Source organism: Homo sapiens, chromosome 14 (genome assembly GCF_000001405.40).
Source record: "Homo sapiens chromosome 14, GRCh38.p14 Primary Assembly".
Classification (NCBI taxonomy): Eukaryota; Metazoa; Chordata; class Mammalia; order Primates; family Hominidae; genus Homo; species Homo sapiens.
Genome location: NC_000014.9, coordinates 58,310,452 through 58,337,924, shown reverse-complemented (window position 1 = coordinate 58,337,924; position 27,473 = coordinate 58,310,452). Strand labels below are relative to the sequence as shown.

The following is a 27,473-nucleotide window of genomic DNA, read 5'->3' as shown; positions in this document are numbered from 1 at the left end:
GCAGACTTCTAAAGGCCTGTGATAAAAAACCCAGACTTCGTCCTGAAGGTGCTGAAAGCCAATAAAGGGTTACCATCAGGAACCGCCTATGTTTTATAAAGATGTTTATGGATAATGAATTCGAAGGGAAAACACCACAAGGAAGATACCTGGAGTAAGTGGAACAAAATACAAGCAAGGAGCATTGTTACTCAATAACTTTTACTACAAGTGACAGAAAACTATCCCAAGATGGCTTAAGCAAAAAATAATTTATTTTATAAACTCACAAAATTATGTAAGAAATTGAGATTGCCTACAGAGTACACAGCCTGAGAAAAGAGATATTATAAAGGGAAGTTAGATATCTTATCCCTTAGTTCCCCCTGCCAAGGTGAACTTTCTAGAACCTTATAACAAATCTCCCACCACCTTGTTTCAAAGAGTAATTTACTACAACAATTGCATAATCCACATTCATTCATTTAATGAAGGTTTAATATGAGCCAAGCAAGCTCTGTGTTGATAGCTGTTAGGTATATATACTGGTAGGAAAAGGAAAAAACAAAAATCCTGAGATCCCCTGCTTTCACAGATCTTACAGTCTAGAGGAGGAGAGAACATTTTCTTAAAAGCTTGTAAAAAATTCTGAAACCTCTCTAAACCTCGGTTTTAATTATATATATATATATATATATAAATAAAGAGAAGGTTCTAGGAGATTTGTTGTAAGGTTCTAGAAAGTTCACTTTGGGGCTGGGCGCAGTGGCTCATGCCTATAATCCCAGCACTTTGGGAGGCAAAGGTGGGCAGATCACTTGAGGCCAGGAGTTCGAGACCAGCCTGGCCAACATGGTGAAACCTCGTCCCTACTAAAAGCACAAAAATTAGCTGGGCATGGTGGCACATGCCTGTAATTCCAGCTACTGGGAAGGCTGAAGCATGAAAATCACTTGAACTCGGGAGGCGGAGGTTGCAGTGAGTGGAAATCGCGCCACAGCACTCCAGTCTGAGTGACGGAGTGAGACTGTCTCAAAAACAAAAAAAAAAGAAAAGAAAAAAGAAAAAGAAAGTCCACTTTGGGAGAAACTATGGGATAAGGTATCTAACCTCCCTTCATAATCTCTCTTTTCTCAGGCAATGCACTCTGAGGCGATTTCATATGTATATATTTATTTATATACATATTTTCATAGACTGTTGTAAGGACTAAACAAACAGTCTTACTTTAAAAACCACCAAGTCTCCATGAATAAACTAAGAACATTATTTGGCGTGGTTATCTTTACTTGTTTGTATCTCCTACAAAAGGTAAACGTTTTAATAGTGGTATAATGAAAGGTACATCTTGATGTATGTTCTCGTACAACAGATATATTTTGTCACAACACCTTAGGGAAACAGCAAATAAAGACAAATTTAAAAAGAAAGCTTAAAATTTTAAACTTCAGTTAAACTTCACGTTTAACTTAAAGTGAAAAGCAAACAAAACAAATAGTAAGTCTGGCAACTCAGGTGAGCCATAGGTCAAAATGACTACATAGGTTATCAATAAGCCCCATCCCAAGTGGAATTCTGAAGAACTGTCCAGAAAGTTATCATATGTAAAAACTGACAATTGACAATATATAGCTTAGAAGAAAGAAAACTTGGAGAAAAATTCACAATCTTTACAGACATATGTCATTTAGTGTAAGGACTAAGAGCCAAGACAGTATGTGTATTATAAGAATGCAATAATTAAATCTTGAGTAAATATTACATTAAATAATGTACATTATACTGCTTTTAGAAAAAGGTAGTATTACGCGATATGCTTTAGAAATATTTTAATCCAAAAGAATAAAAACCACAACCTCTTTTGTTCCCTAAAATTATTTTATTCCTAAAGGAATCACATATATATTTTCAGTTAGAAAAAAAAAAACAAACAACTACTGTAGATCCAGTACAGAGAACAGATTGGAGGAGGGCAAGCATGGATGTTGAAAGAACAATTAAGTTGTTATTGTTATTGCATTAGGCTAGGTAAAGAGAACAGTGGCTTGGAGTAAGATTGGCAGAAAGAAGAAAAGAAACCAAACGAAGTGGGCAAATTTGAGAGCTATTCGAGCAGGTAGAAGAGAATGGACTGGGTATCTGATTGGACAGGGGGTTAAGAGAAGAAGAATCAAGGTGACTTCTATGTATCTGGCTTGGACAGCTGGGTGGATGTTGCTTTTATCAAAATGAATTAAGGACAGCCAGGGAAAGGATAGGTTTAGGGAAAAAGAAGATGAACGCAGTCTTGCACATACTGAGTCTGAGTACGTACAAGTTAAGATGAAATCCTTGGCCGGGCACGGTGGCTCATGCCTGTAATCCCAGCACTTTGGGAGGCTGAGATGCGCGGATCACCTGAGGTTGGGAGTTTGAGACCAGCCTGACCAACATGGAGAAACCCCGTCTCTACTAAAAATACAAAATTAGCCAGGCATGGAGGTGCATGCCTGTAATCTCAGTTACTTGGGAGGCTGAGGCAGGAGAATTGCTTGAACCCAGGAGGCGGAGGTTGTGGTGAGCCGAGATCACGCCATTGCACTCCAGCCTGGCAAACAAGAGCAAAACTCTGTCTCTTAAAAAAAAAAAAAAAAAGATAAAATCCTCATTGGTTTGATATAAATGTCTTGAGCTAAGAAGAGACATCTTTGATGTACATATAGATATCAAGTCATTATATCATTTTAGATAGGAAGTAGGCCAAAAATGTGATGTCGTCATGGATATCAAGCATTCTAAGAAGTTAGGTATGTCAGAGGTACTGAATACTACTCAACAGTCAAATAGGATCAAGACAAAAATGTGTTTGGTTTAGTACAAAAGTTTGTTGGAGTCACTGGTGACCTTAGTAAAGTTGTTTTAGTTGTGGGAAATCAAGACACACTACAGTGAGTTAAGAGTAAAGGGGAGGTCATGAACAGTGTATGTAACTCTAAGCATTCTGGCCATGACGATGAAGAAGGAATGTAGTTATCTGGAGAGGAAAGCACAGAGGTTGTCTGAAGACTGGTGGAGGAAATATGGAGGGGTTGTCAGAAGGCTGGGAGAGATGTAAGCATGTTTTAAAAAGCTGATGAGAAGGATATAACTGAAAGGAGTAAGTTAAAGATGCAAGAAAAGAGAGAGTCGATAGTCTCTCTTTTCCTGAAAAGAGGAAGGGAATGAGATCCACAGCATAACCTGAGAGACTCATCTTATAGGGAGGACAAAACACTATCAATTGTGCCTTGAGCGAAAGAGAGCAGGCAAACAGGTTTACAGCATGCTCGCATCTGAAGCTCCCAATTTCTTTATGAAGTTGTGTGGAGTGGGTATAGGATTATTGGTTTAATGGAGGAAATAATGATTTGCTTACAGAAATTGGGAACTGACCAATAGTGCTGAAGGCCCAGTGGAATTTGGTAATCATAAAATTTAGAGTGGTACTATTCTTTCCTGTTTTACACCTACAGAAAATTTCAGGGCTCACATAAGAGATGATATATTCATAGTAAGGCACTTATAATTTCAGAGAACAGTTTTAACAACAGCCTGCCTAAAATAAATGATTACATGATTCTTGTATTTTATCAGTTAACTGAGCCTAGTAATTTTTCCCCATTTGAAAAGGTACACATTTTAATCATCAAGATGTCATTTAAATGCTATCAAATCCAAGATTTTTAGTACAAGTCAACTATATCATATGACCACAACTATAAAATGCATTGATATAAAAGTGTTTTCTTAATACATAAAAATATAGCTGTATGTAGCTATATTTTTGTGTACAAATGTGGAATCCTCATTAATCTGATTAGATGACCCTAACTGGGTTAGACTCTTACACTAACACTGTGAAGAAAGACTCTGCTAAATACATAAGGGCATTTTTGTTTGCTTAATGGGCTAAACTTTAAGATTTTAGCAAGTCAGTTGTCATATATGATTGCAAGCTAAAGTCCCAATTATTCATGGAAGGTTGGCTTTTTAGGATCTGCTTAGAAATGCTTCATTGGCAACTTAAGTTATTAGATATACTTAAAATATTAACATTACATTTAAAATATTCTTTAAATTCCACCAATTTAGCATGGATTTCCTAAGTTATCCAGCATTTACTGTAAGTTTATACCTAAAGTAATCTTGAATGACCACCAACAAATGCCTTTACAATCTACAAGGCATAAATATGCACAAATAATATGATTTAAACATCAAAAATAATATTCATGTTTCCATGAGTAAACAAACTCAAGTACTTATGATTTTTTACAATACTGGAATATAATCTTAGGCATTAATGTATCAGTGGTCCCTAAACAATTCCCAGTATTACAGAAATGGCAGTAGTTATTTAAAAATTCACTGAATTCAAATTTTCATTACTAAATAGGAAATTTTTAAAAGGGCCCAACCTATAAGCCTACTTATTATAAGCCAAAATGATTTTAAAAGCTAACACTGGTCACATTCCCCTTAATACTCAAGTTTTCTAAACAACCATCCATTTATTTTACCCTTAGAAAACTCTCCTATATTTATCCAAAGTAAATATAAATCAGGAATAAATGAATAATTGATATGATTACTTATGTTTACATGGACTTTTTGATCAATTTCAAAGGTGAAAAATCCAGTAATATCTTTTCTAATACAAAATTTTCTTAACAAAAACATTTAAGTAATACCCATAAAAATATCCCCCAGGGATTTTTTCAATATAATTATTGAGTTCAAGTTTAAAGTAATCAATATAGATAAAACCTACTTTCTGTCAGATCCTCAATCTTTTCCCACACAGTAACAGCATGAGATCTATATCTTGTACTCAAATCCTGAACTACCAATACTTAGGAATTCAAATTAATATTAAGTGGAAAAGGTGCTCTTTCATGTAAAGTCACAGAATCTCAAATCTCCTTATTAAGGCTAGTTAAGATACCCAAAGCATCAAATATAAAAACAATGTTCACTGCCCATTAACACTGCAGAAGTATCTAACACTTGTATGATTCTACTGCATAAAATTTGCTTGCTATACTAAAAACAACAAATAACAGACTAGAGTATTGTTATAGTGGTTTAGAGAACCTTACAAAAGATCTTTTTGATTATTGTAATGCAACATTGAATCTTCACGAAAAGCATAGCATCGTTACATTTTGGGAAGACTCTGATCTGTAATGTAATAAAACAGCGTAGCCTCACCTACATGGTGATAAAGGCCCATAATGACTAAGCCAGGTAGGCCATGGCTTATCAGATTTTTATTCATTTTACATCATAGTCATTCCCCTCCTCTTTGTTGTATATAAAGTGCTTTTCAGTTTATCAGTATATTACACTTTTAAAAAATAACTGTTCAAGAGAAGTTACAATGATTCAGCAACTAAATCTTAAACCCAAGAGCAAGAAATGCAGCTGATTTTTTTCTAAAGCAACAAAATTTCACTCAAGAAAATCTTCCTGTATGGCCAGAGAAAAAGAATTAGTTTAATAATTCAATAAAACATATGCTATGAAATTGACCATCCGAAAAATAAATAATCATATGAATCAGTGCCTAAATTCTGTAATTTTGCTGTTATTTTCCAGTAGATGAAAAGCATCCTGATTCACTTAATTTTAACAGGCTCATAATTTAGGTGACACATTTTAAGATACTATCCTTGTAAGCTTCCTTATCTTTAAAAATTTATTTACTATTACCTGCAAACAATAGGTAACAGAGCTTTGCCTCTGCTCTTCATTCTTTTATACTAACGTATACTCACAGCTTGAATAAAACATTACAATATTTATGAAATTAATCATTGTAATAAGAGCACTACTTACAATTTACTATTTTATAATCTCCCTCTGCCACTTCCTACAAAGCTCTTTTTACCCTCTTTGTTTAAAATTTCAGGGTTTTTTGGGGGGGGGGGGGTAGGGAAAATGCATTCTGGAACGGACAGCAATTAAAAGTATTAGCAAAAATAAAGGGACTAATCTTTCTTCAATATTGGACAATATAAGATCCTAAGGTTAATTTAAAAAACAAAAGCTAAATCACAGATTTGCAACAGTTCACACCCTGAAAATGTGGCCTAATTAGCCTGAAAACATATAATCTATAAATAAATACAGATAAAATACAAAAATCACATTTAATATTCTGACTTTAAATCCTGAATTTTGCCAAACTGTCTCATTATCATTTTCATTTCAGAATCTATCTTGTTTCAGAAAAATAGCCTTCATCCATTGATATTCTAAAAATAGACTCCTACTGTCTTTTTTACAAGAAAGAATATCGCTTGGTTCTGAGTCCTTCCCTATCAGCTACATCATCAATACCTAAAATTCTTATTTAATCCCGTTTTTGGCAATCAAAATGGTAACTAAACACACAAAAAAATCTTACCTATATGCTGCATTTTCTTTCAAATGCAAAGTGGTTAGATTCCCCTTCTACTTAATCAGTACAGGGTCTGGACATTTTTCAGTCTGACTTGCAAATATTTGCTTTCCCTCTTAGGGCATAGCATCCGCAGGGTTATACAGCACTACTTACATTCTCTTCCACATAAAAATCAGACATTACATGAAAGGAAAAGAAAGACAGCCCATTTCAAAGCATCTGGCAAACCTCCATTGGCAAACTGCCAAGCCTCTGCTAAACCTTCCTGTCTTTCCGAGCATGCTCACTTAAAACCAACAGCACGTTACTATGGCAACTCTGTAGGCAGCCTGTAAGTATGAACCGCCATTCTGATTTCAGAGTGTAAAAAAACCAAATACTGCAGGGGAAGTAAAAGGAAAGAAATAGCGTATGCCCTTCATTACATATGACTATACTCGTTTCATTTCATAAATTCATATTTGTGTATTTAAAACAGAAACAAGAATCCCACATTTTTCCAGGCCAATATTTTTCATGCTCAAATAGGTCCCCCTTTTCAGTAAATTCATTGTCTTTGTCTTGCCCCTAAACCCTTTTACCCCGTAACAACCAAAAATGTACTAGACAGTTTATCCCATTTGATACAACACTGCAGAATAAACAACAGTATTCATATAAGCAATCATGAAGTACTCCATGGATGATTTCCTACAATTATATGCATATTATAAATGACATGGCAATATTATAAAGAAAACCATTAGCACTTAGAACATATAATCTAAATATTTTCTATGATTTATCAAATTGCCAAATGAAATTTTCTTTGGGGTTTGGATAGGATTTTTTTTAACCTTAATTATCCTTGAAATATTGTGAAATGTCTGAAAGAGGTTTTAAAGTTGAGACAGGCCAGACCTGAGTACAAATCCCTCTTCTACCCATTTTAGTTGTGCCAGCTTGGGAAAGTTACTTAACTTTTCTGAATCTCCCTTTCCTTACCTTTAAAGTAGGATAACAACAGTTACTTCATATGGTAGTAGTTTAAATGAGTTACACATATAAAATACCTAAAAATTACATTTTTTTCCCTCCTGGGTTGTTTTGGAAAAGACCCCAAAAAAACCAGTTTGCACTTGTTGATTAACTAACCTGAAAAGTATTTTCTTGTAATCTCTTACTAAGAATTAGTTCTGATTTACACACTATGCTATGAGCCAAAATGCTTCCTCAACACCCAAATTAAGCAATGCTAGAAACGGACAGAAACAAATAATAGAGAATCTAAACAGAGGGAAAAATATATGAAGGTATTATTTTCACTAGAGAGTATTAAGATGTTTTTGTTACAAACATGAAATTACACCTACCACCTCTTCTTCTGTCTTTTTGGCCTCCTTTTCCTTCTCTTCATCATTTTCTTCAGCTGGGCCATCTTCATCATCACTACTGGATGACTCAAGGATTTCACTTATATCCATTTTCCAATTATCAGGAACAACTCTAGTTTTTAAGAAGATGCTTGCTTTCTGAAGCCCTAAGAGTGAAAATGTACTTCAGCAGTTGCTATGGAATTGGCAGCATAGAACAATAGAAAAGGCATGGCATTCAGAATCAAAGATCTGAATTCAAATTCGGCTGTCATTTATAAAATGATACAGTAAGCTTTAACATATTTCATAAGTTATAATGTTATATAAACATTTGTTATTACTTTACGGAATACTGTGAGACAATGGTAAAATACGAAAAGTTAAACTTATCTAATCACAAATCAAATATTGTATCTAGACATTAAAAAAAAATCAAGTAAGAGTGGATATCAACTCTAAACAGTTAAAATGGTGGTACCAGAGAGTATCAGTCTTGCTTTATTTGCTATTTTCCAAATAGAGCCACAACATAAAATAATAGGGTAATTCATCTTTATTTTACCTGGTTTAGTGGAGAGCTCAGATTCCGGTAGATTGAGAATGTCTACTTCCTTAATGTCCTTTCTTGCTATAGAGTAACTAATTATCAAGAAGAAGGGGAGGAAAACAATTTATTCAATAAAAATTATCACTTAAATAGTTCATGTTAACACATAGAAAAATAAAAACCTCAAAATCAAAATATTGTCTATAAAATGTTTTTATCTTAGTCCTTAACAAAAGGTAAGAAGAGGAAATACGGGCAAAGTTAGTTATCTTAATTCTGAAGTTGTATATACTCAAAGTACATTGAGAGCCTCACATTCACAATATTTCAATCTATACAATCCTCCTACAGATAGTACGGGGTAATTCATATCAGCATGATGTTTTCAACACTTGTAGACAACAATGTCTATTTTATTATTTGTGAAATTTATTTTTCATTTTAGTAAAAAAGCACATTTACTAGACAGTAATATTGAAATATTTTTATCACTATAAAATATATTATGGCATTAAATTTTTCACAGAGAACTATAACTCAAAAAACTTTTTTAATTTCACTGTTTTGATCACAAAGCAGAGATGAGGTTAGGAAAAAGTTTCTGTAAGTCTGGATTTTTTTTTTTTTTGAGACAGAGTCTCACTCTGTCGTCAGGCTGGAGTGCAGTGGCGCGATCTCGGCTCACTGCAGCCTCTGCCTCCCGGGTTCAAGCAATTCCTTTGCCTCAGCCTCCCGAGAAGCTAGGACTACAGGCATGCACCACCACACCCGGCTAATTTTTTATATTTTAGTAGAGAGAGGGTTTCACCATGTTGGCCAGAATGGTCTCGATCTCCTGAGCTCATGATCTGCCCACCTCAGCCTCCCAAAGTGCTGGGATTACAGGCGTCAGCAACTGCGCCCGGCCCAAAAGTCTGGATTGTAATCATGAAAAAAGTCAAAATAATTGCTCTTGTAATAGAGATTAAAAAATAAGCTTCGGAGTTAATAATAAATGTCACATACTACTAGTACATGATAAAAATATAGAATTTTACAATTAAGGAAAAAATCAATACCATCTTTTGCTAAAAAAAAAACTGTTCTTAATATTGTTCTCACATAATGTTCACATTTTTTATATAAAATTTATTAGTGAAAAATACCCTACATTACAAAAAGTCAAAACCTATTAGGTAACAACTTCTCAGTTCATGAATGATTAGACTTTTAAAAATAAAGTTTTGGTGGGGGAGGTGTCTATCATTGTAATTCTATTTTTTTTTTCCTCCCACGTAACATCATTAAAGGATTCATTACTCACAATTTAGAATCAATAAATGATCGAACTAAACACTGATCCTTTTTCACTGTGATGTCATCATTACAGCTGGGAGATATTACCTGAAATATAAAATAAGAACAGATTGATTCCTATTTCCTGTGCTCAGAAAAACAGTATTTTTCAAAAGAACAATTCTGGATCCCCTAACTTCTCAAATAGATTATATTTTACAAAAAACAGCTTCATTATAAATAGCTCCTATTATTAATGAATTGCATACAAAAAAATATACCCTTATATGTTTTGTCTGCACATTGGTTGCCTAGAAATTTAATTTATCCATAGTCATTAGATTATAAAGTGAATAATTAATGAAATAACAGGGCCAGGCCTAGTGACTCATGCATGTAATCCCAGCATTTTGGGAGGTCAAGGTGGACAAATGGCTTGAGCTCAGGAGTTCAAGACCAGCCTGGGTGGCATAGTGGGACCCTGTCTCTACCAAAAATACCAAAAATTAGCCTGGTGTGGTGGTGTGTGCCTATAGTCCCAGCTACACAAAAGGTTGGGATGGTAAGATCACTTGAGCCCAGGAGGTGGAGGCTGCGGTGAGCCAAATTCACAACACTGCACTCCAGCCTGGGTGACAGAATGAGACCCCATTTCAAAAAGAAAAGAAATATAAATTCAAATGTGACCAGCACTTTAAAAATATGAGGATTTATTCTAAGCTAAATTATTGTCCAAAAAATAAAATGTATAATCTGTGATGAAAATTTGGCATATAATTTTTAAAAATATACTTGAATAAGGATCTTTTTTGAAATCTGGTCATTAAAAAAAAAAAATCTATGTTACCTTTTTTAACCAAGATATGTACAATCCTTAGTAATTAAAACAAGTTAAAACATGAACAAAGAACTTTTTAATTTCTTAACTTCTGAAAATAGTATCTTAACAATATAATTGGTAAATACTCTCTGTATCCTTTATAGAACTTTATATTTTTTAAAAGCTGATTAAATATATCTGTTCATGCTCTCCCTAACACTAGCCTCTCTCTGCTACATTCCAGCACCATTCACAGACCTTTGTGCACTGATGGAAACGTTCTATATCTGCACTGCCCTATACAGTAGCAGTGAGTCACATGGTGCTAAACACTTGAAATGTGGCTGGTGCAACTGAGAGACTGAATTTTTAATTCTATTTTATTTTAATTAAGTTACATTTAAACTTAAATGGCCACATATGGTTCATGGTTATCATACTGAATAGTGTATATCCAGATAATTGAATATTCTTGGCAGTCACATCAGCTGTCTTAACACCAGATGGAAGTATTTGTTTGTTTGCTTGGTGCCAGTAATTATTAGACTAATAATATAGCTGTGCCAACCCTCAAGGAGCTAACAGTATACTGGAGGGGCAAACATAAAAAGATACACAAAAAGAACACAATGGAGGATAAGTACAGTGATACCACTAGGCACATAATAGTATGAAAACATCAAGGAGGAAGATTTCACCTAACCTGGGCAAGGAAAAGGTGTGGCAGGAAAAGCTTAAGGTAAATTTTAAAGGATGAGTAGGCATAACCCAAGGTCTAATTACCTTACCTATGAACTATTTAATGGCCTTCAAATAGATTCCTGCCACCTCCAGTCTTTCTAGTAACACGCCATTCTTCATTCACGTTCCTAAACATGTAGCTCAAATAACAACACTCTTTTGGAAAATTCTCTGCAGAATTATGTCCAAATTCTTTAGATGAACTTTTAAAGACCCTTCTGCCCTAGATTCAAATTATGTTCACAGCTATATTTCCTATTATTCCCCCACTCGCATCTAATATTTAGCCAAAATGGATTCCCAGAGCAAACAGTTCCATGAACAAACCCATTCCTACTTTTTTTTCTGAGACAGAGTCTTGCTTTGTTGCCCAGGCTGGAGTGCAGTGGCGCGATCTCAGCTCACCGCAAGTTCCGCCTTCCGGGTTCATGCCATTCTCCTGCCTCAGCCTCCCAAGTAGCTGGGACTACAGGTGCCTACCACCACGCCTGGCTAATTTTTTGTGTTTTTAGTAGCGACAGGGTTTCACCATGTTAGCCAGGATGGTCTCGATCTCCTGACCTCGTGATCTGCCCACCTCAGCCTCCCAAAGTGCTGGGATTACAGGCATGCTATTTTTTTAACCTATTTTTTTGTTTCCTCTAGTGAAGCTTTGCCTACTATCTTTAAATCCTTCAAAGCTCACCTCAAAAGCACCTGCTTTGTGAAGGCTTTCTGTATTTTCCTCAAATAAATGTAATCTCTCAGGCCAGGGAGTCCTAATATTGAACATATACTATTTTATATTACTGTTACTTGAATTATTCTGTACATTATACATAAAATCGTCAAATGTAAGAATAGTGTCTTACTTATTTTTTATTTTCAATATCCCCTGGTAAATGATAAATCTGAGTAAATAAAAGAATTTGTTATTAAAAAAAAAAACTCTTGGCAAACCTACAATCTGAATATTCTGAATCCAAATTACTTATTTTTCTATACAACTGAAAGGTTCAAGGGACTTTCAGAATTTCCCCATACAAATTAAATCTATTATCTAGGAACTGAGTAATATATTTACATGCACATAGAAACCTAAAAATATACTTTCAGCTCTTTACAGGATTATAGTCTAATTTGGGATACATTTTGTGCCACAATTATTATTAGAGATAAGTGATACCAAAAATCAAAGGGGCATACTTATGTTAAGAATATTTAGGGCCAGGCGCAGTGGCTCACACCTGTGATTCCAGCACCTCGGAAGGCCAAGGCCATTGTCTGAGCCCAGGAGTTTGAGACCAGCCTGGAGAACATGGCAAAACCACATCTCCACACAAAAATACAAAAATTAGCCAGGTGTGGTGATGTACACCTGTGGTCCCAAGCTACTCAGGAGGCTGAGGTGGGAGGATCACCTAAGCCCAGGGAGGTTAAGGCTGCAGTGAGCCGTGATCACACCACTGCACTCCAGTCTGGGCAACAAAGATCCTCTCTCAAAAACAAAACAAAACAAAACAAAACAAGAGTATTTAAGAGAAACCTTGCAAAGAATGTAGGACTTGAGCTGAACTTTAAGAGATATTTAAGAGGGGATGAAGAAGTGGAGGAGGAAGTAAAGGAGTAGGAAGAGAAGAAAAAAGGCATTAATTTCCAATCATTTTTTATTCCTCTCTGAAATAATTCTCTTGTGTATCGCTTCTTCTTATTCCTTCTCTGTGTAAGCAAAAATTAGCTTTCTCTACCAACCCATCCAAAACTTGTCATTTCTAAAATCTTCCTTAAATTTTAGGTGAACCCCTCCTTTCTTACTCCATTCAGTACCAAATTGTTTTTTTTAATTTACTATACAATCTTTAATAACTATGTAATCTCTTACATGTCTACAGTAAGCTTCTTGAGGGCAATACATTAAAGCCTCGTATTTGTTTATCTTCTAAGGAGCTTAGAACAAAGCTGAACTCACTGCAGATCCTCAGTAAATACTAATTAATTTAAGGCAGGGATAAATGCTTAGAGGAGTGATGTATCTTAAATACAGGGCAGTTAAAGAACTTGAGTAGAGTTTACATTAAAAATAGGAAATAAATTGAGAGCCAGGGATGGCCTCAAATATCCATTTAAAAAATGCAAAACTGATCAATTAGGCAGACTCGCTGAAGGTTGTCTATTTCTGAGAATGGGACTATCATGACTAAATGATATTTTAAAAAGACTTCTCAGCCAGGCATACCAGCTCATACCTGTAATCCCGGCCCCTTGGGAGGCCAAAGTGAGAAGATTGCTTGAGCCCAGGAGTTTGAGACTGGCCTGGAAACATCATGAGGCTACATGTCTACAAAAAATAAAAAATAAAAAAATAGCCAGGTGTGGAGGCACACTCCTGTACTTGTAGCTGCTTGGGAGGCTGAAACAGGAGGAACGCCTGAGCCCAAAAGGCTGAAGCTGCAGTGAGCTGTGCTCACGTCACTGCACTCCAGCCTGGGAAACAGAGTGAGACCCTGTCACAACAGCAAGAAAAAACGATTTCTCTATAAAAGTTAGTACTGGAAAATTAATCTGAATTAACAGTAAAGAAAGAATTCAAGAATCAAGTTAAGGCCAGGCGCGGTGGCTCACGCCTATAATCTCAGAACTTTGGAGGCCGAGGTGGGCGGACCATGAGGTCAGGAGATCGAGACCATCCTGGCTAACATGGTGAAACCCTGTCTCTACTAAAAATACAAAAAATTAGCCAGGCGTGGTGGCAGGCGCCTGTTGTCCCAGCTACTCCGGAGGCTGAGGCAGGAGAATGGCGTGAACCCGGAAGGCAGAGCTTGCAGTGAGCCGAGATCGCGCCACTGCACTCCAACCTGGGCGACAGAGCGAGACTCCATCTCAAAAAAAAAAAAAAAAAAAAAAAAAAGGGAACCTAAGGTAATGGGAATAGAGTAAAAAGCCATTGGACATATTATGAGGGAAGAAATATAAAAGAGCTCAATAAAAGCCTACAGAGAATTAAAGAAAGAATAACCAAAGAAGACAGTGAAGTATTATGGACCTGACTATGATTATTCAATTAAAAAATCTCCAATAAAGTCCAAATTTGTTTAATACTTTCAAAATATTTTAAATGCTTTTAAAAAAATCCATTTAAAACAAATATTTAGACGGCTGATTAACTCTGCAAAGAAACTTTACTTACCAAAGCAGGATACCATTCAGTCCTCTCCGTTGCAGACACCACACTTACAACTTTTCCTAGTAATTCATCATTGAGACGGCGCTTGTCTTCATCTTCCTCTTCACTGCTTTCTTCTTCCTTTTCATCTTCAGTACTAAAAGTTAGAATAACTTGATCATTATCCTAACACAAACAATTATTTGATACAGAGTATTGTGAATTTAATATAGTCAATTCAATTTCTAATGGACTACACCCTAAAGTAGTAGCCTCTCCATTCTTATTGTAACTGAAGACATGGGTCCTTCCTTAGCCTCACAGAGGTATGTAGTCCTGAGTTGTCTATGGTAACTCTGAGTCCACTTCGCCAGATCAATGAGTGCTTAGACTTAGGCTCTCATGCCACCACCAGCTGGGACAGAAAAACCTAATTACACCACCATTAAATACTTATTGTGCCAAATACTTTTTTTTTTTAAGATTGCCCTTCTATTTTTATGCCAGATAATATAACATATAACTTTAATTTTCTAACTGGCTATGAAAATATCTCATTAAAACACCCATAAGGTTTACTTAAGGTAACTTATCTGGGTAACTAAAGTTTACCCTTAAGTTTCAACAAATTTTAAGCATATATATATATATATATATATATTTTTTTTTTTTTTTTTTGGAAATGGAGTCTCGCTTTGTCACCCAGGCTGGAGTTCAGTGGTGCTATCTCAGCTAACTGCAACCTCTGCCTCCTGGGGTTCAAGAGATTCTCCTGCCTCAGCCTCCTGAGTAGCTGGGATTACAGGCGCATGCCACCACACCTAGCTAATTTTTGTATTTTTAGTAGAGACAGGTTTTCACCATGTTGGCCAGGCTGGTCTTGAACTCCTGACCTTAAGTGATCTGCCCGCCTCAGCCTACCAAAGTGCTGGGATTACAGGTGTGAGGCAACGTGCCCAGCCAAGCCTACATTTTTAAGACATCCTGCAATATATTGATAATGTTGGAGTTTATTAAAGTATGCAGAGCTATTAACTCTTATTAAATGGCTCAAAACCACTTGGTTCATTATATTTTTATGGTTTTAGTCCTTTTTTTCTTGTCATAGACTTCTCAGCTGTGAGACTCCACAGTTTTCTTTATTGACTGCATCTACTGATCTTTCCTGTATTTCCTTTTGACACATCTTCCAATCTGCTGCACTCTGAGAAACCAGATAACTCAACTTGTTAAAATTATAAAATAAGTATGAAGGAGTTTTCAGTAGAAGTCTATGGAGTTAGCTTAGAAATAAAATACTGGGTATTGAATTATTAAATATATATCATGTCCTGAGTACTTATTACACACTAATAAATTTATATACATTATCGGCTGGGTGCAGTGGTTCACACCTGTAATCTGAGCACTTTGGGAGGCCGAGGCGGGTGGATCCCTTGAGGTCAGGAGTTGGAGACCAGCCTGGCAAGTATGACAAAACCCCATCTCTACTAAAACACAAAAATTAGCCAGGTGTGGTATCACACACCTGTAGTCCTGGCTACTCGAGAGGCTGAGGCACGAGAATCACTTGAACCTGGGAGGCAGAGGTTGCAGTGAGCCAAGATCGCACCACTACACTACAGTCTGGGTGACAGAGTGAGACTCCATCTCAAAAAAACAAACAAACAAAAAACCAAAAAAAACAACAACAACAACAAAAAAGAAAATTCTATACATTATCTAATACAAAAACCAGCAAGACATTACTGTTCCCATTTTCCTCAGCTATAAATTGAGAATAATAATATCTTGCAGGTTTTTGTGAAGATTTAATGTACATAAATGTAGTTAACTTTAAAGAGGTTAAGTAATTTTCCCAAAGTGATATATCTAGTATATGGCTGAGTTGGGATTTCCATTTAGGGTCCTCGGAGGTCTTTTATTATTTTCTGGTTTGCAGCTTAGGTGTTATCTGACTTTGCCTTTAAAAATACTCATTATATACTCCCCAGCAGCAGTGAGTACATATCTAATACCAGGATCTTGGTTTCTAAATATTAATTCCCACTAAAATAAATGAGGGACCCTTGTAGAAATGGCCAATTCCAGGGTTGGCGCAGGAAAAAATTAACATGAGCCTAGGATACCTTGTCATGCCAGAAGGTGAAAAAGTGCTCAAGAAATGGTGAGGCCATATCAAAAGAACACAGAAGCCATCCTGGAAAGGCTCCCAGGCTCCCTTGGCTAAATCTGGAACAACCTGAATTGTAACCCATTAAGTAAAATTAGAATCCATAGCGTTAGGAAAAGAATTTCATTATAGCTAAGCGATAACCAAAAAATGTAGCAAGAATGAAAAATTAGAAAAATCAGCATTTTGCTATCATAATAGTACTAACTGATTCAGGCAAGAATTATTAGTACATGATAAAATTTGTGAATCAAAGTTTGACAGAGACTAGAATATTTAAATAGTCTCAAAGTATCTCCACACAGATTTTACAAAGGGGAAAAACGGTAACTATAGTAATTCTGAAGTTTAGAAATTTGGCAGGCACCACCTTAATCAAAGTTAGTATCACCAGATATGGGACAAACTGATAATACTTCTTGCTGTGCTTTCCTTCAGGACACAACATCACTTATGGAGTATAATATATAACCTGAATCTAACAATGAGAAAACAATCCAACATATTAGGGAACAGGTTACAAGACTATTGTCTTGTATTCTTCAAAAACGTCAATGTCATCGGCTGGGCGTGGTGGCTCATGCCTGTAATCCCAACACTTTGGGAGGCCGAGGCGGGCAGATCACGAGGTCAGGAGATCGAGACCATCCTGGCTAACACAGTGAAATCCCGTCTCTACTAAAAATACAAAAAATTAGCCAGGCGTCGTGGTGGACGACTGTAGTCCCAGCTACTCGGGAGGCTGAGGCAGGAGAATGGCAAGAACCCAGGAGGTGGAGCTTGCAGTGAGCCGAGATCCAGCCACTGCACTCCAGCCTGGGTGACAGAGCGAGACTCCGTCTCAGGGGAAAAAAAAAAAAAAAAAAAAAGTCAATGTCATGGAAGAAAAAAGGCTACAGAATTTTTTTAGATTAAAGGAGACTCAAGAACCATATAAACTATATGCAATGCATGATCCTGAATTGGATCCTGTAATCAGGGGAACTGGGGGACGCTATAAAGGCTATTATTGGAACAACTGACAAAGTTTGAAATATTAACCATATATTATGATAGTAGTCTATCAGCGTTAAATTTTCTAAATTTGGTATTCATACTTTGGTTATGTAAGAACATCTCCTTGTTCCTAAATATTTAATGATAAAGGATCATGATGCTTGCCACTTCCTCTCAAATAGTTCAGAAAAATAAAATTATTACAAAATATAAAAATAATTAGTATAGGCCGGGTGTGGTGGCTCACGCCTGTAATCCCAACACTTTGGGAGGCTGAGGCAGGTGGATCATGAGGTCAAGAGATCGAGATCATCCTGGCCAACATGGTGAAACCCTGTCTCTACTAAAAATAGAAAAATTAGCTGGGCGTGGTGGCACGCGCCTGTAGTTCTGACTACTCGGGAGGCTGAGGCAGGAGAATCGTTTGAACCTGGGAGGCAGAGGCTGCAATAAGCTGAGATTGCACCACTGCACTCCAGCCTGGCGACAGAGTGATACTCCGTCTCAAAAAAAAAAAAAAAAAAGAAAAGAAAAAAATTAGTATATATATAGAGAGGGAATCGTAAAGCAAATGTGTGAAAAATGTTAAGAACTGGTAAATCTAGATAAAGAGTATATAGACATTAGGCCAGGTGCAGTGGCTCATATCTATAATCCCAGTCAGCACTTTGAGAGGCCAAGGCGGGCAAATCACTTGACGTCAGGAGTTCGAAACCCATTTGGCCAACAAAGCGAAACCTCATCTCTATTAAGAATACAAAAACTAGCCAGGCGTGATGGTGTGTCTGTAATCCCAACTACTCAGGAGGCTGAGGCAGGAGAATCACCGAACCTGGGAGGCAAAAGTTGCAGTGAGCCAAGATCATGCCACTGCACTCCAGCCTTGGTGGCACAGACAAACTCCATCTCACCAAAAAAAAAAAAAAAAAAAAAAAAAAAAAAAAAAAAAAAGAGTATATAGACATTCATACACAGATATTCGTGTATTATTCTTGCAATCTTTAAGTTTGAAATGTTTTTGAAGTAAAAGATAAAAAACATATACTCACTTAAAATAGAAAAATCATCATATCAATTAAAAACTTTGGGCCTGGCGCAGTGGCTCAGGCTGGGTGTGGTGGCTCACGCCTGTAATCCTAGCACTTTGGGAGACTGAAGCAGGTGGATCACGAGGTCAGGAGTTCGAGACCAGCCTGGCCAATATGGTGAAACCCCATCTCTACTAAAAATACAAAAAAAAAAAAAATTAGCTGGGTGTGGTGGCACATGCCTGTAGTCCCAGCTTCTCAGGAGGCTGAAGCAGGAGAATTGCTTGAACCCAGGAGGCGGAGGTTGCAGTGAGCCGAGATTGCACCACTGCACTCCAGCCTGGGCAACAGAGCGAGACTCCGTCTCAAAAAACAAAATCAAAAACAAAACAAAACAAAAAAAACTTCGGCAAAGTAACTTAAAACAAAAATAATCTATTAGAAGTAAGAGTTGTTATCATTCCTGGGCAAATATTGGGAATAATTAAGAACAAGGTCCACTCAGGGTAAAATGTCTAACATAAGGATACAATATGCTATGGAAAGCTTACCCAAATGAATTTAGCCATCCTAACAAAATCCCTTGTTTAAGGTTATAATAATTGTAATTAAAATGATACCATATATGAAAAAACTCACACAGGAAGAGAAGATCTCCTTCCTCTGTTCGTCTTCTTTGCAATTACTGGAGTTCCAAAATGCTCTGGATTTGTTAATGGAAGCTGGTCAAGTGTCTGTATAAGAAATAGATTAATTAAATTACGTTTTACCTCTAGATCAGTACCTGTAGTTCAATCCAAATCGTCCATCCGTGTCACCCTACCTCACTCTCTGCAAAATGTCTCTCTCCTTTCAGACAAAGTGAGGTACGTCTCAATGTTCGCTCATCACCATCATCAAACACTATAATAAGCAAAAGATAACAGAGAATTTATGCACACTAATGAAATAAAAACTTAAAAGCACAGAATGCTATTATTGCTATTAATTAGAGCTTAATATTTGTAAGAACCATTATTTTAGTCATTTTTCAAAACCTTTACAATGAGCATACCATGCCATATTTTTCATTCTACAGATACCAAAAACACAGGTTAAATGGCTGCCCACGACTGCTTAAGTATTTCCATCTGCTTTTTTGATTTCTATCACTACAGAACCACCTTCTTAACTCATTAGCAACCTAGTCAAAGCATAAATATTAAATTAACTGCAATCCTAGAAGAATGAACAAAAACCTGATTAAAAAAAGTATTATGGATTTTTCCACAAAAGTTTAATATTAGAGTACCCCTAACTTCCAGAAACTGACTCCTGGTATTGCTATTGAATTATTCTACTGCTTCTATTTATTTGCATGATAACCTACTACACATGTACCAGCTGCCAAATTCTAAAGTCATAAGATACAAGTTCTTTCTTTTGTTAGAAAAGGATGTAAGTAGTCTGTTTAAAAAAACTTTTTTTTTTTTTAATAAAGACAGGATTTTGCTATTTTACCCAGGTTGGTCTCAAACTCCTGGCCTCAAATTATCCTCCCGCCTAAGCCTCCGAAAGTGCTCGGATTACAGGCATCAACCACTGTACCCAGCTGAGAAGTTTAGAAATAAAGGTTGAAATAAGGAAACAGAAAGATAAAAGTTTGTAGGGCAGGCGTGGTGGCTCATGCCTGTGGTCCCAGCTACTGGAGAGGCCATGGTGGAACGATTGCTTGAGCCGCGAAAAACCAAGGCTCAACCATGGTTAGTGAGCCATGATTGTGCCACTGGGTGACAGCAAAACCAAGATTCTGTCTCAAAAAAAAAAAAAAAAAAAAAAAAGACAAATATAAAGGTTTTTTTAAAAAGAAACTTTAGGCCAGGCGCGGTGGCTCACGTCTGTAATCCCAGCACTTTGGGAGGCGAGGTGGGCGGATCACGAGGTCAGGTCAGGAAATCGAGACCATCCTGGCTAACACGGTGAAACCCCGTCTCTACTAAAAATACAAAAAAAATTAGCCAGACGTGGTGGCGGGCGCCTGTAGTCCCAGCTACTCGGGAGGCTGAGGCGGGAGAATGGCGTGAACCCAGGAGGCGGAGCTTGCAGTGAGCCGAGATTGCACCACTGCACTCCAGCCTCTACGACAGAGCAAGACTCCGTCCCAAAAAAAAAAAATAAAAAAGAAGAAAGAAAGAAAGAAACTTTAAAAAAAATCATAATTACATAGATGCTTTCTCAAATTTTTTGCTTTTACTACTTTTTTTTTTTTTTTTGAGACTGAGTCTCACTCTGTCCCCCAGGCTGGAGTGCAGTGGCGCGATCTCAGCTCACTGCAAGCTCCGCCTCCCGGGTTCACGCCATTCTCCCGCCTCAGCCTCCCCAGTAGCTGGGACTACAGGCACACGTCACCACGCCCGGCTAATATTTTTGTATTTTTAGTAGAGATGGGGTTTCACCATGTTAGCCAGGATGGTCTCCATCTCCCGACCTTGTGATTCACCTGCCTCAGCCTCCCAAAGTGCTGGGATTACAGGCGTGAGCACCGCGCCTGGCCTTTAGTACATATTTTAAAAAATCATACTACTTGGCCGGGCGCGGTGACTCCCGCCTGTAATCTCAGCACTTTGGGAGGCCGAGGCGGGCGGACCACCTGAGGTCGGGAGTTCGAGACCTGCCTGACCAACATGGAGAAACCCTGTCTCCACTAAAAATACAAAATTAGCCAGGCATGGTGGCACACGCCTGTAATCTCAGCTACTCGGGAGGCTGAGGCAGGAGAATCTCTTGAACCCGGCAGGCAGAGGTTGCAGTGAGCAGAGATTGCGCCATTGCACTCCAGCCTGGACAACAAGAGCAAAACTTCGTCTAAAACAAACAAACAAACAAAATCGTACTACTTGACTATATTTAAACATTTCAAGGAAATGGGGTAAGGAATTTTACAATTTATCCCTAATATTCTCCTAATCACTAACAATATATTATTTTGATAATTGTATAGGTTTAACTTTTGAGACTGTATTCTGATTTTAGCATCCAACATTTATAGTTTATTAAAAAGAAAATGCTCTCAGAAGGTACCTCATTGCCCCAGGTTATGAATAAAATAAGATATAATCTTTACTTCAGACACTTAACATCCATATTCACTTAACAAGAAAGCATACATATGTACCCAAAAACAATTATCAAGATTTAGTACTAATTTTCACAATTCTAGATACTTTTTTCCATTCTAACAGAATAAGTCAGTGTTAACAAAAAGAAATTCTACATTACATTCATTTGATATCTTAGAATTTTTTAATTGGTTACCTATGAAATTATAATCCTGAATTATTTTCTGAAAAGGTTGTTTTATTAGCAAACACTTTGCCTTCAAATCCTACGCTTACCTTTAATGAATAAGTTTTTTGAAAGAAAATTATATAAAAGCTTTCAACATGTTAAATATTTATTTACTTCAATCAGTTCTCCCTCTTAGACTACAGATACCTAGCTTAGATTCTTTTACATGCAGGAGACAATGTGGAAAAAATTAAAAACTCCCGAAGCACATACTCAAAGAACCATGATTCTAAAAAAGCAGCTGTGCTATACACAGTCAATGATCCAGAAATTAATGACTAGCTGCAGGCACAATGACAGGTTAAAACACAACATCCTCCAATGATTACATCACTGATCTGCACTTGAGTAATAGGGTGCTAAATATTTGATATAAAAACTATGATTCATATAGTGTCAAGTCTAAAAAATTAACCACTGTTCTCTTAAAGTTTTTAAATCATTAAATTATCACAAACCAAACAATATAATTCTTGTTAGTATTAGTATCTGTAAGTATAAGATTTCAAAAAGAATAAAACCTGAAAGGTTTTCAACTTTTCTTAATGCCTACAATACCAAAGATGACGATACTAGACACACACACACATTTAAATGGAGGTATGAAAAAGGAAAATGTGAATGTAAGACCAACACTCCAAAATTTATATAACAAAATATTTTCTATAATGTTTTATCATTAATCAATGGCAGCCCTAAACCAAAATGTTCTGATGAAAAATTTCAACAATTTCAACATTTTAAACAAAATATTTCAGCAATTTTTGAATTTCAACAATTCAAAAATTTCAATAATCACTTTGAAATAAAATCAGATTTTTGGAAGGAAAAATTCATTTCACTTAAATATACCTTATCATGGATAGAAATTTTTTTTTAAAAAAAGAGATTGCTCAAAAGGGGATTATGATACAAACAACTATTTTACAGTTTTATATAGGAACCCTCCCAACCTTAAGTGAACAAAAAGAAATAATTTAAGATTTATTTATTTATTTAGAGACAGAGTCTCATTCTGTCACCCAGGCTGGAGTGTAGTGGCATGATCTTGGCTCACTGCAACCTCGGCCTCCCAGATTCAAGTGATTCTCGTGCCTCAGCCTCCCAAGTAGCTGGGATTACAGGTGCACGTCACCAGGCCCGGCTAACTTCTGTATTTTTAGTAGAGACGGGGTTTCACCATGTTGACCAGGTTGGTCTCAAACTCCTGGCCTCAAGTGTTCCACCCACCTTGGCCTTCCAAAGTGCTGGGATTACAGGTGTGAGCCACTGAACCCAGACTAAGATTTTTTTAATTCACAAAATTATACAAATGTATGTTGGGTACTTTATAAATTTGTAATTTTGCAAGATTTTCTGAAAGAGAAATAGAAAACCCAACAATGGGGGGCAGGGGTGTGATGGCTCACACCTGTAATCCTGGTGCTTTGGGAAGCCAAGGCAGGAGAATCCCTTGAGTCCAGGAGTTGGAGACCAGCCTGGCTAACACAGCGAGACCCCGTCTTTACAAAAAAAAAATTAAAAATTAGCTGGGTATGGTGGCAGGTGCTTGTAGTCCTAACTACTTGAATGGCTGAGGTAGGAGGATCACATGATCCCAAGAGTTCAGGGATGCAGGGAGCTATAATTGCCACTGCAGTCCAGCCTGGGCAACAAAGTGAGACCCTGATTCTATATTTCTATGTTTTTTATAAAACCAACAACATTATGAACTTATCAATCATGACATCCCTGATGATCAAAACCATGAAGAAGCTCCATCTAAAAGAAAGTTCCTCTCTTAACTTCCATCTTAGAGCTCTCATCTAAAAGAACATAACATTTGTAGGCACTGAAGAGTATAATTTTTGTAAGAGTGAAATAATTAATGTTGTATATAGCAAGTCTAGCTTCTTTTTAGTTCAGTCTTCTATAGCATGCTAAGAGGAAAAAAAGTCAGACTACAAGGATTTAATAATTCTATGAAATGTCTTATATTTTCCAAAAATGGCTTTTGAATAGATTGTTCATTGAGTCTAGCAGAACATACATATAACCAAAAGTGGTATCTCTGTTACTATGTTAGGTATTTTGACAGTTAATTTTAGATGTGAACTTGACTGAATTAAGGAATACCTAGAGAAGTGGTAAAGCAATTACTTCTGGGTGTGCCAGAGGAAACTGGCACATGTGCCAGTGAACCAGGTGGGGAAGATTCACTCTCACTGTGGGCAAGTACCATCCAATTGGCCGGAGGCCCAGACAGAACAAAAAATGAGAGAAAGGGATTTCCTCTCTCTCCTGGAGCTGGGACACTCTTCTCCTTCTGCCCTTGGACATCAGAACTCCAGGCTCTTTGGCTATGGGACTCTGCACCTTATACCAGCAGTCCCTCAGATCTTCTCAAGGCTTTGGCCTGGGACTAAGAATTATATCCTCAGCTTCCCTGGTTCTAAGGCTTTCTGACTTGGATAGAGCCTAGCTATTGGCATCTCAGGTCTCCAGCTTACAGAGAACCTGTCATGGTCATTCTCAGTCCTCATAGTATGATGAGCAAATTTCTCTAATACTGGGGTCTGCAACCCCCAGGTCACAAACCTGTACCAGTCCATGGCCTGTTGGTAACCGGACCGGACAGCAGGTTAGCGGTGGGCAAGCAAGCATTACCACCTGAGCTCCACCTCCTATCAGATCAGCAGTGGCATTAGATTCTCATAGGAGCGCAAATGCCTGTGAACTGCACAAGCGAGGGATCTACCAATAGGTTGTGCATTCCTTATGAGATGCTAATGCCTGATGATCTAAAGAGGAAGAGTTTCATCCCGAAACCATCCCCCAGCACTTCCATCCATGGAAAAATTGTCTCTCACGAAACCGGTCCCTGGTGCTAAAAAGGCTGGGGACCACTGCTCTCAGAAATCCCCTCTTGTATCAATCTGTCTATCTATCATCTATCTATATCTTATTGGTTCTCTCTAGAGAATCCTAATAGGGATTAAAATATTAAAATCTATTAAGAGGAAAATGACAAAGCTGAGACTTTCACAGTAACACCAACCATACTAAACACATTAGACAAAGTAATGCCAATGCAAACAAACACACAAATCCTAACCCTAATCAGCTAGAATTCAAATAAAAGGATCTGATCAACTACTAAATACAAAGACCCATTTCCCTGTTATCACAGCACTGATACTGAAAGATAGTAAAATAATAACAGTAAATTAATTTTATCTGTCTATAAATATAATTGGCTATCACTTATTAAGCTTCTACCATGTCCTAATCCTCACAACAGCCTCTACAAAGTAGGAACCATTATCCTCCTTTTATAGGTAAAGAAACAGAATCAGAAAGTTAACTGATGAGCTACAATTTAGTTAAGGGGATATCAAAAGACATAATAGGCATGAAACAGAAGTATAAAATGAAGTCTGAGAAAGAAGTCATGAATTCTGACTTTGGAAAATTAAGTATCATTATTGTTATATCCATGTACAGCAGTTATGATTAACAAAATTATAGAATTCTTCACATAATGAAGCAAACATTTTAAAATTTAAAACATACGGATGCCCTAGGTAAGGCCAGTAGTTTTTTTAAAAAAAAATTATTTATTTCACCGGGCACGGAGGCTCATGCCTGTAATCCCAGCACTTTGGAAGGCAGAGGCAGGTGGATCACTTGAGCTCAGGAGTTCGAGACTGGCCTGGCTAACATGGCGAAACCCCGTCTCTACTAAAAATATAAAAATTAGCCAGGGTGATGGTATATGCCTGTAATCCCAGCTACTTGGGAAACTGAGGCAGGAGAATCATTTGAACCTGGGAGGTGGAGCTTACAGTGAGCCAAGATCGCGCCACTGCTCTCCAGCCTGGGCAACAAAGCGAGACTCCATCTCAAAAAAAAAAAAAAAAATTTAACATTAATAGTATGTATTTATCTTATACAACATGTTTTGAAATATGTATACATTGTGGAATGGCTAAGCAAGCTAATTAACATGTGGATCACTTCACAGGCTTATTTTTTTGTGTGTGGTGAGAACACTCAAAATCTACTCTCTTAGCAATTTTCAAGTATGCAATACATTGTTATTGGCTAAAACCATCATGTTGTACAATGGAGCTCTTGAACTTATTCCTTCTAACTGAAATTTTGTATCATTTAACCGACATTTACCTAATCCCTCACCCCCCGCCCACCCCAACCAAGCTGCCCCCACCCCTGATAACCAACACTCTACTCTCTAATAAGAGTTTGACTTTTTAAGTGAGATCATATGGTATTTGTCTTCCTGTGCCTGGCTTATTTCACTTGGCATAATGTCCCCTGGATTCAACCATGTTGTAAGAAATGTCAGGATTTCCTTCTTTTTAAAAGTTGAATAGTATTCCATTATGTATATATATCACATTTTCTTTATACATTCATCTGCTCATAGAGACTTAAATTTATCCCATATCTTGGCTATTGTGAATAGTGCTGCAATAAACATGGGAATACAGATACATCTCTGACATACTAGTTTAATTCTTTGGTTATATACCCAGGAGTGGGATTGCTGGATCATATGGTAGTTCTATTTTTAATTTTTTGAGGAACTTCTATGCTATTTTCCATGATGGCTATACTAATTTACTTTCCCACCAATGGCGGGCAAGGATTCCCTTTTCTCCATATCCTTGCCAGTGCTTGTAACCTTTTATCTTCTTGATAATAGCCATTCTAGCAGGTGTGAGGTAAAATCTCTTTGTAGTTTGAATTTGCATTTCCCTGATGATTACTGATGTTGAACAGTTCTTTACATACCTGTGGGCCATTTGTACGTCTGCTTTTGAGAAATTTCTATTCAGGTCCTTTGCCTATTATTTTCATTTATTTTTTTTTAGATTGGAGTCTTGCTCTGTCGCCCAGGCTGGAGTGCAGTGGCATGATCTTGGCTCACTGCAGCCTCCGCCTCCAGGGTTCAAGCATTTCTCCTGCCTCAGCCTCCCAAGTAGCTGGGATTACAGGCATGTACCACCACACCCAGCTAATTTTTGTATTTTTAGTAGAGATGGGGTTTCACCATGTTGGCCAGGCTGGTCTCGAACTTCTGACCTCAAGTGAACCACCTGTCTCGGCCTCCCAAAGTGCTGGGATTACAGGCGTGAGCCACCGTGCCCAGCCTTTTGCCCATTTTAAAAATTGGGTTGTTTTCTTGCTATCGAGTTGTTTAAGTTCCTTATAAATTCTGGATATGAACCCCGTATTAAATACAGAGTTTGCAAATATTTTTTCCAATTATGAAGGTTGTCTTTTCACTCTCTGGATTGTTTCTTTTGCTGTGTGGAAGCTATTTAGTTTGATGTAATCCCAGGTGTCTAGTTTTGCTTTTCTGCCTGTGCTTCTGGGGTCATTAAAAAAAAAAAAAAAAATCAATGCCCGGGCCAGTGTCATAAAGCCTCTTCCCCTATGTTTTCTTCTAGTGGTTTGACAATTTCAAGTCTTAAGTCTTTGATCCACTTTGATCCAGTTAGTTTTTGTATATCGAGTGAGATGAGGGTCTACTTCCATTCTTCTGCATGTAGATATCCAGTTTTCCCAACACCATTTACGAAGAGACTGTCCTTTCCCCAGTATGTGCTCCTGGCACCCTAGTCAAAGATCAAATGACCATAAATAGGTGGATTTATTTCTGG

At 37.1% G+C, this 27,473-nt stretch overlaps 1 protein-coding gene across 10 annotated transcripts in view, besides 1 other annotated feature; it reads right to left on the bottom strand.

Moving 5' to 3' along the window:
- Nucleotides 1-27,473, bottom strand: part of ARID4A (AT-rich interaction domain 4A) — a 75,322-nt gene that overhangs the window by 35,952 nt on the left and 11,897 nt on the right. For 8 of the 10 annotated variants that reach the window (XR_001750495.2, XM_005267964.3, XM_005267965.3 and 5 more), the window contains exons 6-11: nucleotides 19,304-19,383; nucleotides 19,120-19,214; nucleotides 14,308-14,440; nucleotides 9,609-9,688; nucleotides 8,321-8,397; nucleotides 7,756-7,922 (exon numbers count right to left, since the gene is read on the bottom strand). Coding sequence is in view for 8 of the 10 variants with exons in the window: in XM_005267964.3 (XP_005268021.1) it covers nucleotides 7,756-7,922; nucleotides 8,321-8,397; nucleotides 9,609-9,688; nucleotides 14,308-14,440; nucleotides 19,120-19,214; nucleotides 19,304-19,383 (632 nt within the window). In the remaining 2 variants the exon portion in view is untranslated. Of the gene's footprint in view, nucleotides 1-6,406; nucleotides 6,642-7,755; nucleotides 7,923-8,320; nucleotides 8,398-9,608; nucleotides 9,689-14,307; nucleotides 14,441-16,412; nucleotides 17,051-19,119; nucleotides 19,215-19,303; nucleotides 19,384-27,473 lie in introns of those variants that run through there. The other 2 variants (XM_047431653.1, XM_047431654.1) reach the window with 2 other exon arrangements.
- Nucleotides 6,485-6,534: an enhancer, noted in NCBI's record as "active region_8452". NCBI's record gives its function as "activates an Ori minimal core promoter by ATAC-STARR-seq in GM12878 lymphoblastoid cells {active_cell/tissue: GM12878}" and the evidence as "EXISTENCE:reporter gene assay evidence [ECO:0000049][PMID:35858748]".